Here is a 14,870-nt window from a genome sequence, read left to right as displayed (position 1 = left end):
CTTGTATGCCTGATAAGTCTAAATTTGTTATATGTTTGTGTCGTGTATACGTTCAAGTGAATATATGTGAAAGCGCTATAAAAAATCAAACTACATAAATGAAAGGGATTTTAATTTCCTGATAAGCAGGAAACAGCATATCTCCAGTACTTTAATATCTGTAGAAAAATGCGTTAATAATGTCATTTAGGAATAAAATATTTCTCTCCCTAGAGAGGGTTTAGGTATTATTCAGAGTAAAAGAGCAAAAAAATTTCAACCTCAGAGGGTATGGAAAAAAACAGAAAAATACCCTTACTTCCAGAGCTCCTGATTAAAATATTGTGAGTTGTGGGTTAAGTTTACTGATTTAAAAAAAACTTAGCATAGAGTTGTATCACTGCAGTTGCTTTGAATGTCTTAAGTACTGTGTAATGTCAGAATTAAACACGAACTAACTTTTCTGGGTAGAAGGTAAAAAGCTCCAATAAACAGATCTTAGTTTTCCCCAGATTTTTGTGCCCAGAGTGCTGTAGGCAAAGGGCATATTGAAGAGATACATAGAAGTTGTATGGAAGGTCTGTTAATATTTGTCCTGATTTGTAATGGCTTAATATTATTTACTACTTAAACTGTTGTGCATTTTTCCAAAGCATTTCAAACAACCTCTTCAAAAGCCAGCACTTTTAACTTTTGAGGTTGTGTGACTTAAGAATTGTTTTCTACCAGAAACAGTTCTCTTAAAAAGTTCTACCACAGTTCTCTTAAAAAGGAGCAAAGGACCTGGTAATTTTCTCTGTAATCAATTCATGCAGGTAAAATTGAGTTTTAGCCTTTAATCCAGAGGACTTAATTAACATATCTCCAGCATAACAATCTTACTTATAAATGCTGTTATCCTTTGTCAATTAAATTTTATTCTTATATTTGTATAAGTCAGCCAAAGGGAAGGAATGCAGGGTTGTGTTTCTGATTAGTCCACTTCCCCCCAGGTCCAGGCTTGCCTATCAATTGAGTAATGAGGATCTTAGAATACAGGATATATAATTTAAATCCAGAGCATCGTTCTCTTAACAAATGCTTAGTGTTTGTTCCATGCCTAATTCAATGCAAAGTGATGAGTTCCAAAAAATATTGCTTTATTTGTTGTATGTTCACATTTCAAAATTGGTGAGGTGTGTTCTTTTTTCTTTTTCCTTTTCCTTTTTTTTTTGAGATGGAGTCTTGCTCTGTCGCCCAGGCTAGAGTGCAGTGGCTGGGACTACAGGTACCCGCCACCACGCCTGGCTAATTTTTTTTTGTAGTTTTAGCAGAGATGGGGTTTCACCATGTTAGCCATGATGGTCCCGATCTCCTGACCTTGTGATCCTCCCGCCTCGGCCTCCCAGAGTGCTGGGATTACAGGCGTGAGCCACCGTGCCCGGCCATCCTTTTTTTTTTCAAAGACATTGCTATGATGCCCAGGCTGTCATAGTACACTGCAGCCTCAAATTCCTGGGCTCAAGCCATCCTCCTGCCTCAGCCTCCTGAGTATACCCAGCTAATTTCTTTTTTCTCCTCCTTTCCTGTCCTGTCCTGTCCTTCCTTCCTATAGTTAAGTTTGACTAGGGGGTATGATTACTTATTTCTGAACTTATGCTTTTCTTGTAGTGTAGAAATACATGTGGCTTCTGTTCAAAATATTTGATAAAAATTTAGGCAAAGAAAAAGCAGGAATTTTTTTTTTTTGTTTGTTTGTTTTTGAGACGGAGTTTAGCTCTTATTGCCCAGGCTGGAGTGCAATGGTGCTATCTTGTCTCACTGCAACGGTGCTATCTTGTCTCACTGCAACCTCCGCCTCCCGAGTTCAAGTGATTCTCATGCCTCAGCCTCCCAAGTAGCTGGGATTACAGGAATGCCCCACCATGCCCAGCTAATTTTGTATTTTTTAGTAGAGACGGGGTTTCACCATGTTGGTCAGGCTGGTCTCCAACTCTTGACATTAGGTGATCCGCCTGCCTCTGCCTTCCAGAGTGCTGGGATTACAGGTGTGAGCCACCGCACTCGACCAGATTATTAGTTTTGTAAGACCGTTCCTTTGAGAATAGGTATGAGAAGATAGATTTTGGCTGATATCGTTAACCTGAAATTTAGACATAGAAAACAGTTCTGAGCTGTTAATATCAGCTGAATGGCAACAGTTGTTTTTCAACATACTGCTACAGCTGATGAGTTCAGTTTGTGTTGAAATAAGAACCTAGTAAAATGTATTTTTAAAAATATTTTTTAAGATTTAAATACAAATAATTTTAAATACAAAAAACTAGCTGGGCGTTTGAGCATTGCTATTTACTGCAACTCTAAAGAGTGAATGACCTGTTAGTCAGTACTGGCTGGCATACAGTTATACATTCTTGAATTTTACAAGTACTGTAGTTGGCTGAGAGCAGTCCTTGGCAATAAAGGTTTATCTTTCAGACCTGTGGAATATATTGCCCAAAGAGTTTTCCTAAAACAAGGATATGATGATCTCTTTGCAGATAGCATTTTACTTTTTTTTTTTTTTTTTAGACGGAGTCTCGCTCCATTGCCCAGGCTGGAGTGCAGTGGCGTGATCTCTGCTCACCACAAGCTCCACCTCCCGAGTTCATGCCATTCTCCTGCCTCAGCCTCCTGTGTAGCTGGGACTACAGGCGTCCACCACCATGCCCGGCTAATTTTTTGTATTTTTAGTAGAGACTGTTTCATCGTGTTAACCAGGATGGTCTCGATCTCCTGATCTCATGATCCGGCCACCTCGGCCTCCCAAAATGCTGGGGTTACAGTCGTGAGCCACCGTGCCCGGCCAGCATTTTACTTCTAAAGAAATGAAATGGGGCCAGGAGTGGTGGCTGATGCTTATAATCCCAGCACTTTGGGAGGCCAAGGCGGGTGGATCACCTGAGGTCAGGAGTTCAAGACCAGCCTAGCCAACATGGTGAAATCCCATTTCTACTAAAAGTACAAAAAATTACCTGGGCGTGGTGGCAGTCATCTGTAATCCCAGCTACTCGGGAGGCTGAGGCAGGCAAATGGCTTGAACCTGGGAGGTGGAGGTTGCAGTTAGCCGAGATCGCATCACTGCTCTCCAGCCTGGGCGACAGAGCGAGACTCTGTCTCAAAATAAAAAGAAAGAAATGAAGTATTCTGGTAAATGAATTCTTCTCCAGCTCTCAGTTGAAGCTTTGTTCTTTGAGGCTATAATGCTTGTAATACAAGCACAATTTGGACAAAAGCATTCTGGTGCCCATTAAGTCATTCAACTTTTTTTTTTTTTTTCTTTTGAGACTGAGTCTCACTCTTTCACCCAGGGTGGAGTGCAGTGGCACGATCTTGGCTCACTGCAACCTCCGTCTCCCAGGTTCAAGGAATTCTCTTGCCTCAGCCTTGCGAGAAGCTGGGATTATAGGTGTCCACCACCACGCCCAGCTAATTTTTGTATTTTTAGTAGAGAAAGGGTTTCACCATGTTGGCTAGGCTGGTCTCGAACTCCTGACCTCAGGTTGCCTCAGCCTCTCAAAGTGCTGGGATTACAGACGCGAACCACTGTGTCTGGCCCTTTTTATTTTTTTGAGACGGAGTTTTGCTCTTGTTGCCTAGGCTGGAGTGCAGTCGCGCAATCTCGGCTCACCGCAACCTCTGCCCCCTGGGCAAGATTCTCTTGCCTCAGCCTCCCAAGTAGCTGGGATTACAGGCATGCACCACCATGCCCAGCTAATTTTGTATTGGTAGAGACAGGGTTTCTCCATGTTGGTCAGGCTGGTCTCCTGACCTCAGGTGATCCACCTGCCTCGGTCTCCCAAAGTGCTGGGATTACAGGCATGAGCCACTGCGCCCAGCCTTTTTTTTTTTTTTTTTTTTTTTTTTTTTGTAATTGAGACAGAGTCTTGTTCTGTAGCCCAGGCTAAAGTGTAGTGGTGCTCTCAAGCGATCCTTCCACCACAGCATCCCTAGTAGCTGGGACCACAGGCCCACACCGCCACCACGCCCAGTTAATTTTAAAATTTTTTTTGGAAGAGACAGGGTCTTGTTTTGTTGCCCAGGCTGGTCTTGAACTCCTGGGCTCAAGCAGTCCTCTTGGCCTCTCAAATATGGGGATTACAGGCCAAGGCACCTGGATCCCAACGTTTTTTTTTTTTTTTTCTTCCCCAAAACATATAAGCACTTGATTAAAAAAAAAAAATAGTTGGACTCTTTCTTTCCCCCCCTTCTCACTATTGCACTTGACTAATTTTTTTTTTTTTTTTTTTAAGACAGTCTTGTTCTGTCATCCAGGCTGGAGTTGCAGTGGTGCGATCTCGGCTCGCTGCAACCTCTGCCTCCCAGGTTCAAGCAATTCTCCTGCCTCAGCCTCCCAAGTAATTGGGACTACTGGCGCATGCTGCCACGCCTGGCTAATTTGACTGATTTTATTTTATTTATTTTATTTTTGAGACAGAGCCTCACTGTGTCACCCAGTCTGGAGTGCAGTGGCACACATGTACTCCCAGCACTTTCGGAGGCTGAGGCTAGAGGATACCTTGAGCCCAGGAGTTTGAGACCACCCTGGGCAACATAGTGAGGGCCCTGTCTCTGCAAAAAGTAATTTGAAAATTAGCTGGATGTGGTGGCATACACCTGTGGTTTCAGCTACTCAGGAGGATGAGGCAGGAGGATTTTTTGAGCCCAGAAGTTGAAGGCTACAGTGAGTTGTGATCACACCATGCACTCCACCCTGGTCAACAGAGTGGGACAGTCTCTATTTGAAAAAAGAGGCCGGGTGCGGTGGCTCACACCTGTAATCCCAGCACTTTGGTAGGCCGAGGCAGGCAGGTCACAAGGTCAGGAGTTCGAGACCATCCTGGCCAACATGGTGAAACCCTATCTCTACTAAAATACAAAAAATTAGCCGGGCATGGTGGCGCGCGCCTGTAATCCCAACTACTCTGGAGGCTGAGGCAGGGGAATCGCTTGAACCCGGGAGGTGGAGGTTGCAGTGAGCTGAGATTGTGCCGCTGCACTCCAGCCTGGCAACAGAGCAAGACTCCATCTCAAAAAACGAAAAGAGGGCCAGGCACAGTGACTCACGCCTTGTAATCCCATCACTTTGGGAGGCCGAGGTGGGCAGGTCATGAGATCAGGAGATCGAGACCATCCTGGCTAACACCGTGAAACCCCGTCTCTACTAAAAATACAAAAAATTAGCCAGGTGTGGTGGCACACGCCAGTAGTCCCAGCTACTTAGGAGGCTGCGGCAGGAGAATCGCTTGAACCTGGGAGGCAGAGGTTGCAGTGAGCTAAGATTGTGCCACTGCACTCCAGGCTAGGCGACAGAACAAGACTCCATCTCAAAAAAAAAAAAAGGAAAGGAAAGAAAGGCCAGGCATGGTGCCTCACACCAGTAATCACAGCTCTTCTGGAGGTCATGGCAGGAGGATTGCTTGAGTCCAGGAGTTCAAGACCAACCTGGGCAATATGATGAGACCCTGTCTCTACAAAAATAAGAAATTTTAAAAAAAAGGAGGAAAGAGGCTAGGTACGGTGGCTCACGCCTGTAATCTCAGCACTTTGGGAGGCCGAGGCGGGGGGATCATGAGGTCAAGAGATCAAGACCATCCTGGCCAACATGGTGAAACCCCGTCTCTACTAAAAATACAAAAATTAGCTGGGCCTGGTGGCACACACCTGTAGTCCCAGCTACTTGCGAGACTGAGACAGGAGAATCACTTGAACCCGGGAGGCGGAGTTTGCAGTGAGCTGAGATCACACCACTGCACTGAAGCCTGGTGACAGAGCAACACTCCGTCTTAAAAAAAAAAAAAAAAAAAAAACAGGAAAGAAATGCATAGGGTTTCAGAGTAAGTTTTGATGTTTTTCCTCTATATAAATCGGATAAACTTCACACACCCCTATTCTTATCCTCTAATCTCTAAACTATATTCAACTCCCAATAGTTATAGAGATTATTTTCATTCACATGTTTGTAGTATTTATCAGTTTTGGCTTAATTTATTATTACTTAACTAATGAGTTATAACATTCCTTTTGGGAACGTTCAAATTAGAGCTGGACTCTATTTTAGGAATTCCCCTTGAGTCATTCTTGGACTTGGAATTCCTAATTGCCCATCCAGAGTAGATGTTTATTTGGATTCAAAATTTTCCTTCCTGAAATTATCCATTCTGTGGCTTCGGTTACCATATATATTTTGAATACTGCCACATTTTTATCTGTAGCCAGACCTCTTTTTTTATCCTGGCTGCCTGTTCAACATCTCCACAGAGATACTCAGAGGAGGTAATTTGAATTGTGTTGTCCAAAGTGAGCTCTTCATCTTGGCCCCACACCTAGACTTTCTTCAGTGTACTCTATTTTATTAAGTGGCTCTATCACACAATTTACTGAGGCTGGACTCTTTTTTTTTTTTTTTTTTTTTGAGATGGAGTTTCGCTCTTGTTGCTCAGGCGGGAGTGCAATGGCATGATCTTGGTTCACTGCAACCTCTGCCTCCCGGTTTCAGGCGATTCTCCTGCCTCAGCCTCCCGAGTAGCTGAGATTACAGGCGCCTGCCACCACGCCCAGCTAATTTTTTATATTTTTAGTAGAGATAGGGTTTCACCATGTTGGCCAGGTTGGTCTCGAACTCCTGACCTCAGGTGATCCACCCGCCTCGGCCTCCCAAAGTGCTGGGATTATAGGCATGAGCCAACACACCCTAATTTTAGAATATTTTAGATTGTTTTTATTCCGTCAAAAAGAAACCTGATACCCGTTAGCAGTTACTCCCTCCTTATTCCCCCCATAATGGTTGTACAATATTCCATTATGGAGGTTATACCATAAATTATATATGTTTCTTTTTTTTTTTTTTTTTTTTTTTTTTGAGACGGAGTCTCGATCTGTCTCCCAGGCTGGAGTGCAGTGGCACGATCTTGGCTCACTGCAAGCTCCGCCTCCCAGGTTCACACCATTCTCCTGCCTCAGCCTCCCAAGTAGCTGGGACTACAGGCGCCCGCCACCATGCCCGGCTAATTTTTTGTATTTTTAGCAGAGACAGGATTTCACAGTGTTAGCCAGGATGGTCTTGATCTCCTGACCTTGTGATCCACCTGCCTCGGCCTCCCAAAGTGCTAGGATTACAGGTGTTAGCCACCGCACCCAACCTAATTATATGTGTTTCTTATAATAAATGCCCTGTATTTGTTTAGGGTAAATTACTAAATGTGGAATTATTGATCAAAGGATATAAGCACTTTAAAGTTCTTGATAACTGTTGCCAAGATGCCTTCCAGAAAAGTTGTACCAGATGACACCATTGGTGTATGATGGTATGGGTGTTGGTGTTTTTTTGTTGTTTTTTTTTTTTTTTTTTTTTTTTTTTTGAGACGGAGTTTCCCTCTTGTTGCCCAGGCTGGAGTGCAATGGCGCGATCTTGGCTCACTGCAGCCTCCACCTCCCAAGTTCAAGTGATTCTCCTGCATCAGCCTCCCAAGTAGCTGAGATTACAGGCGTGTGCCACCACGCCCGCTAATTTTGTATTTTTAGTAGAGACAGGATTTCGCCAATATTGGTCAGGCTGGTCTCGAACTCCTGACCTCAGGTGATCCGCCTGCCTCAGCCTCCCAAAGTGCTGGGATTACAGGCATGAGCCACCGCACCCAGCCGATGGTATGGGTTGGGTTTTTTTAAAGAAATTTTGTATCATAAACGTAGTCATATTGGAAAATCATACATTTATTTTTGTCTTAGACATGTTCGTTTTTCTAGACTGAGCATTGTTCAGAACAGTTGGTTTGACCTAATCTTAGGCTGTTTTGGACAAATGTTCCAATATTGTCCTGTTTGCATGAAGACAGTTCCACTTAGGATATGTTGTGAATGAATATATTATCCCTATCCCAGGTTCCTCATACTTCTCCAGCTGGTTCCTGAAGGTTCTTACATTCAAATAGAATGGCTTTTTGCCAGCGAAAATTGGCACTTCAACCCACAATGGTGCTTTTTGTTTCCTCATTGGTTGATACAGCCAAGATCTCAAACTACTCACTCTCCATGAGATTTTATAATTTGATTCGCCACAAATTATATTTTAGGTTTTTCAAATATTCATAGCCAAGAGCTCTTTTGAAAACAAGTTGTTTTCATGTTTGTAGCACATAGATTACTATGTGCTACTTAGCTGCTGTAATGCTTTTGCTTAGAAATTGTCACGAGCTAGTTATTAAACATCTATTATCACTCATGTGGAATTAACTTCCACTTAAAACGTTCCAGTTAAACAACACTTCATTGTAAACCCTTTAATTGATTCCTGGTCTCTGCACATAAAGCAGTCGCGTTCAGGGGTATGAGTCACTAGCACGATTCTTAGTGGATTGCTCAGCTCATGAGCTGGGATGCCTAGATTGTTAATACCTACTTTGGAATTACAGTGAGTCAATATTGAAATTTTTAAATTTAGTCCAACCGCAAATTTTCTGAAATGATCGTTTGGGAAGTGCCTTTTTAAAATTTTGACATCTTGTTATATTGTTTAATTTTACTGCTATTACTTTACTTTTCTCCTATCCCTAGACTTTTGAGTTCCACATAATTTGTCAGTTTGGTGAATTTTACTCTGAGATAGTTTTCATCAAATGTTAAATGGAAGAGATTTTAGAAATCATCTAACTTGATATTCTTCATTTATTTCAGAAATTAGGATATGGAAAGAACTTATTCCTGAAGTGCATGGATTATATTCTGGGATTAGAATCTCTTGCCTTCTAGTCCATTGCTTGCTTAGTTTCACAAAATTCAAGGTTAAGAATCACTTTTCGCCCAGGAGCCGTGGCTCACGCCTGTAATCCCAGCACTTTGGGAGGCTGAGGCAGACGGATAACCTGAGGTCAGGAGTTTGAGACCAGCCTGGCCAACAAAGTGAAACCCTGTTTCTACTAAAAATGTAAAAAAATTAGCCACTGTGGAAAACAAGATAATGTTCCTCAACCAATTAAAAATTACCATATGATAGAGCAATTCCACTTCTGGATATTAAAACAAAAGAACTGAATGATTAGCCAGGTGTGGTGGCACACGCCTGTAATCCTGGCTACTTGGGAGGCTGAGGCAGGAGAATCACTTGAACCTGGGAGGCAGAGGTTGCATTGAGCCGAGATCATGCCACTGCACTACAGCCTGGGTGACGAGGCAAGATTCTGCCTCAAAAAAAAGAATTGAATGATTTGTACACCCACGTTCATAACAGCATTATTCACAGTGGCCAAAGTTGTAGACAACCCAGGTGTCTGTCAACAGATGAATGGATAAAAAAAACGTGGTATGTACATACTATGGAATATATTATTCAGCCTTAAAAAGGAAGGAAATTCTTTTTATTTATTTATTTATTTATTTATTTATTTATTTATTTATTTATTTTTGAGACGGAGTCTCGCTCTGTCGCCCAGGCTGGAGTGCAGTGGCGTGATCTCGGCTCACTGCAAGCTCTGCCTCCTGGGTTCACGCTGTTCTCCTGCCTCAGCCTCCTGAGTAGCTGGGACTACAGGCGCCTGCCACCACACCCGACTAATTTTTTGTATTTTTAGTAGAGAGGGGGTTTCACAGTGTTAGCCAGGATGGTCTCGATCTCCTGACCTCATGATCTACCCGCCTCGGCCTCCCAAAGTGCTGGGATTACAGGCGTGAGCCACCGCGCCTGGCCAAAGGAAGGAAATTCTGACACATGGTATAACGTGGATAAACCTTGAACACATTATGCTGAGTGAAATAAGCCAGACACAAAAAGACAAATATATAATTCCATTTATATGAGATAATTAGGTAGTCACAACCATAGAGAAAGTAGAATGGTGATTGCCAGGGGCTGGGAGAAGGGGAAATGGGGAGTTACTGTTTCTGGGTCTAGAGTTTCAGTTTTACAAGATGAAAAAAATTCTGGAGGTAGTGGTGATGGTTGATAATGCTATGAATGTGTTTAATACTTGAACTGTACACTTAAGATAGTACATTTTATGTCTATTCTACCACAGTAAAATAATAAAAATAATTTAACAGGACACAAGTTAATGAGGGGGGTTTTTAGTGCTTGATTTGAAAAACTTGAGAGGTTTTGTTTTTTGTTTTCTTTTTTTAAATAGAGACGGGGTCTCGCCATGTTGTCTAGGATGGTCTTGAACTCCTGAGCTGAAGTGTTCTGCCCATCTCAGCCTCCCAAAGTGCTGGTATTACAGGAGTCAGCCACCACGCCCAGCCAGCTTCTTCCCGCCCCACACCCCCAGATGGAGTTTTGCTCTTTTGCTCTCTTGCCCAGGCTGGAGTGCAGTGGTACAATCTCGGCTCACTGCAACCTCTGCCTTCCGGGTTGAAGCAATTCTCCTGCCTCAGCCTCCTGAGTAGCTGGGATTACAGTAGCCCAGGCCTGGCTAATTTTTGTATTTTTAGTAGAGACTGGGTTTCACCATGTTGGCCAGGCTGGTCTTGAACTGACCTTGGGATCCGCCCGCCTCAGCCTCCCAAAGTGCTAGGATTACAGATGTGAGCCACCATGCCTGGCCTTTTTTTTTTTTTTTAACATGAGACTATTAGAGACTTTTCCAAAGATATATGTGGAAGTGATTTCTTGGGTTAATAGTTGTTTTGTGGTCTCCCTATTCTCAATGCCCAAATAAATTGTCCTCCTTAAATAAATAAATCATTTTTGTCAAAGATACCGTTTATTCCTTCCTCCCCAGCTACCAAGAAAGCTTGTTCTGTTTTATTTTACTTTTAAACTTTCATTCCATTTTACATTTTAAGATCTTAAACTCTGAAATGTATTTTCTTTCTGGTGTTTGTGCATTTTTTTGTTTGTTTGTTTGTTTTTTTGAGACAGAGTTTCGCTCTTGTCGCCCAGGCTGGAGTGCAATGGCGCAATCTCAGCTCACTGCAACCTCTGCCTCCTGGGTTCAAGTGATTCTCCAGTCTCAGCCTCCCGAGTAGCTGGGATTACAGGTGCCCACCACCACGCCTGGCTAATTTTTCTATTTTTAGTAGAGATGGGGTTTCACCATGGTGGCCAGGCTGGTCTCAAACTCCTGATTTTAGCTGATCCGCCCACCTCGGCCTCCCAAAGTGCTGGGATTACAGGCATGAGCCACCGCGCCTGGCCTTGTGCTTTTTCTTTTGTTGTTCTGATCCTGAAGATTGGGATTAGGGTCACATAGAACCTGTACATAATTCCATTGGTAATGTAATTCTTTACTAGCGAGTGGTCAAGAAAGAGCCCAAACTCCAGTGCAAGACTGCCTGACTTCAAATTCTGGCTTTGCTACTTAATAAGTAGATGATTTTAGGCAAATAATAAAGTTTTTTGGTTTTTGGGTTTTTTTGAGATGGAGTTTCACTCTTGTTGCCCAGGCTGGAGTGCAATGGCACAATCTCAGCTCACCACAACCTCCCCCTCCTGAGTTCAAGCGATTCTCCTGCCTCAGCCTCCTGAGTAACTAGGATTACAGGCATGCACCATCACGCCTGGCTAATATTGTATTTTTAGTAGAGACAGGGTTTCTCCATCTTGGTCAGGCTGGTCTCGAACTCCTGACTTCAGGTGATCCGCCCGCCTCAGCCTCCCAAAGTGCTGGGATTACAGGCATGAGCCACCGTGCCTGGCCTTGTGCTTTTCTTTTGCAGTTCTGATCCTAAAGACTGGGATTAGGGTCACATAGAACCTGTACATAATTCCATCTGTAATGTAATTCTTTACTAGCGAGTGGTCAAGAAAGAGTCCAAACTCTAGTGCAAGACTGCCTGACTTCAAATTCTGGCTTCACTACTTAATAAGTAGATGATTTTAGGCAAATAATAAAGTTATTTGTTTTTTGTGGGTTTTTTTTGAGACAGACTTTTGCTCTTGTTGCCCAGGCTGGAGTGCAATGGCACGATCTCAGCTCACTGCAACCACCGCCTCCTGGGTTCAAGCAATTCTGTCTCAGCCTCCTGAGTAGCTGGGATTACAGGCATGCACCACCACGCCTGGCTAATTTTGTATTTTTAGTAGAGGCAGGTTTCTCCATCTTGGTCAGGCTGGTCTCGAACTCCTGACTTCAGGTGATCCGCCCGCCTTGGCCTCCCAAAGTGCTGGGATTACAGACGTGAACCACTGCGCCTGGCAGGCAAATTATAAATTTTTAAACCTGATTTCCTCATCTTTAAAATGAGTTTAATATTAGAATCTACCTGCTGAAATAATTCAAATAATGTTCATTACATTTGATCTTCAAAAATCCTATTAATTCGGCTGGGCGCGGTAGCTCACACCTGTAATCCCAGCACGTTGGGAGGCCGAGGCAGAGGGATCAGTTAAGTCAGGAGTTCGAGACCAGCCTGGATAACAAGGTGAAACCTCATCTCTACTAAAAATAGAAAAATTAGCCAGGCCTGGTGGCGAGTGCCTGTAATCCCAGCTACTCGAGAAGCTGACTGAGGCAGGAGAATTGCTTGAACCCCGGAGGCAGAGGTTGCAGTGAGCTGAGACTTCGCCATTGCACTCCAGCCTGGGCGACAGAGCGACACTCTGTCTCAGAAAACCAAAAACAAAACAAAACAAACTGAATTATGTTTTACAGAAAAACAGTGTTAATTTGAGTCTGTTTGGATATAACCTATAGAAAACTCTTGAGATAAGAATTTGAGAGAGAATTACATAATTTATTACCATGTTGATGCCAGCTAATTTTTTTAAATTCTGTTTTCTAGTGTAAGACAAGGTAGATTTGTGTCTAAGTTATTTGGAAAATAGACTAAAAATAGCACATTTGGTTTCTGTCTAATAAATGTTATATAAGCAAACTTGATTTTCTTCAGTATTTGGGTTTTCTTTGTGTGAGTGAATCCTTTTGAATTATGGGCTACCATGAATTGCAGTATCTTTTAAAATAGAAGCCGTTCTAGAAAAAAGCAACTTTTTTTTTTTTTTTTTTTTTTTTTTGAGACGGAGTGTCGCTCTGTCACCCAGGCTGGAGTGCAGTGGCACGATCTCGGCTCACTGCAAGCTCCGCCTCCCGGGTTCACACCATTCTCCTGCCTCAGCCTCCCGAGTAGCTGGGATTACAGGCACCCGCCACCACGTCTGGCTAATTTTTTGTATTTTTAGTAGAGATGGGGTTTCACCTTGTTAGCCAGGATGGTCTCGATCTCCTGACCTCATGATCCGCCCACCTCGGCCTCCCAAAATGCTGGGATTACAGTCGTGAGCCACCGCGCCCCAAGTTTTTCAACCTTTTAATTTTTTAAAGAATTGATACGATTCTATAAAAATAATAAAATTTGAAGGAAGTCAGTAAAATAAACTGAGATGTTTATATTAAATGTCAATTAATCAATGTCTATACTATATCAAGATTACCTTTTATAGACAAATAGGTAAAAGGATGGAAATAACCCACAAAGGGGTTGGATATATGAGGGGGAACGTATCCTACTGTCTTAGAAACATGAAAATTGACATGATTTTGAAATGCCATTTTGCATCTAGTAAAGGAGCATAATGACAGTGCTGAAGAGGTGGAGGTGAAGTTGTTTTAAGTATACATTCATTGCCAGGCACTGTAAATTACTAGTGCCTTTTTTGAAAACCAAATGACAGTACAAAGCAAAAACCATGCAGATTTACATTGCCTGTGATCTAATAATACCACCTCCTAGAATTTATAGATATAAACTCAAGGCATTTAGGATATATTCACGAAGATATTAAGTATAAAAGTACATATAAATCAGTTGGACCCCAGCTATTCAGGAGGCTGAGGTGGGAGAATCACTTGAACCCAAGAGATGGAGGTTGCAGTGAGCTGAGATCATGCCACTGCACTCCAGCCTGGGTGACAGCAAGACCCAGCCTCAAAAAAATAATAAAAAATTGGTGCTTTACTAATTAGCAAAAGACATTGAGGTATTTGGCCTCCACCCATCTCCACCACTTGACATGTGCTTCCATGTCATTTTCTATTTGTAGATGGAGTATAGACATGATTTTTTATTCATGAGAGCCATTCACAGCTGAATCTCAGACTTTCAGCCCCTACACTATAACCAAGTTTGTTTTCAGAAGCAGGGAAGCCAGAGAAGACTTATGTCCTGAAATTTTTTTTTTTTTTCCTAAGACTGAGTCTTGCTCTTTCACCCATGCTTGAGTGAAGTGGTGCCTTCTCGTCTCACTGCAACCTCCGCCCCCCGGGTTCAAGTGGTTCTCCTGCCTCAGCCTCCAAGTAGCTGGGATTACAGGCGCATGCCACCACGCCCAGCTAATTTTTGTATTTTTAGTAGAGATGGGGTTTCGCCATGTTGGCCAGGCTGGTCTTGAACTCCTGACCTTAGGTGATCCACCTGCCTTGGCCTCCCAAAGTGCTAGGATTACAGGCGTGAGCCATCGCTCCGGCCCTATGTCCTGAATTTTAGGCACCTTTTCAGGTCCCTTATGTAGACCATTTCCTCACATGTGCACTGATCAGTTCTGAAGACTGAGGGGCCCCTCTGCAGATCTCCAGGGTTTTTTGTGTGTGAGTGAGTGAATCCTTTTGAATTATGTGCTTCCGTGAATTGCAGCATTCTTTAAAAAAAAATTTAAGAAGCCATTCAAGAAAAAATAGATAAAATGTTCAGGGCTGGGTGTGGTGGCTCACGCCTGTAATCCCAGCACTTTGGGAGGCTGAGGTGGGTGGATCACGAGGTCAGGAGATCAAGACCATCCTGGCTAACATGGTGAAACCCCATCTCTACTAAAAATGAAAAAAATTAGCCGGGCGTGGTGGCGGGCACCTGTAGTCCCAGCTTCTCGGGAGGCTGAGGCGGGAGAATGGCATGAACCTGGGAGGTGGAGCTTGTAGTGAGCCAAGATCAGGCCACTGCACTCCAGC

At 43.1% G+C, this 14,870-nt stretch overlaps 1 protein-coding gene across 9 annotated transcripts in view; it reads left to right on the top strand.

Moving 5' to 3' along the window:
- GJC1 (gap junction protein gamma 1) overlaps positions 1 to 14,870 on the top strand; it is a 37,261-nt gene that overhangs the window by 2,309 nt on the left and 20,082 nt on the right. The gene's annotated exons all lie outside the window — the stretch shown is intronic.

Source organism: Homo sapiens, chromosome 17 (genome assembly GCF_000001405.40).
Source record: "Homo sapiens chromosome 17, GRCh38.p14 Primary Assembly".
NCBI classification, from domain to species: Eukaryota; Metazoa; Chordata; class Mammalia; order Primates; family Hominidae; genus Homo; species Homo sapiens.
This window is presented reverse-complemented; position numbering and strand designations above follow the sequence as displayed.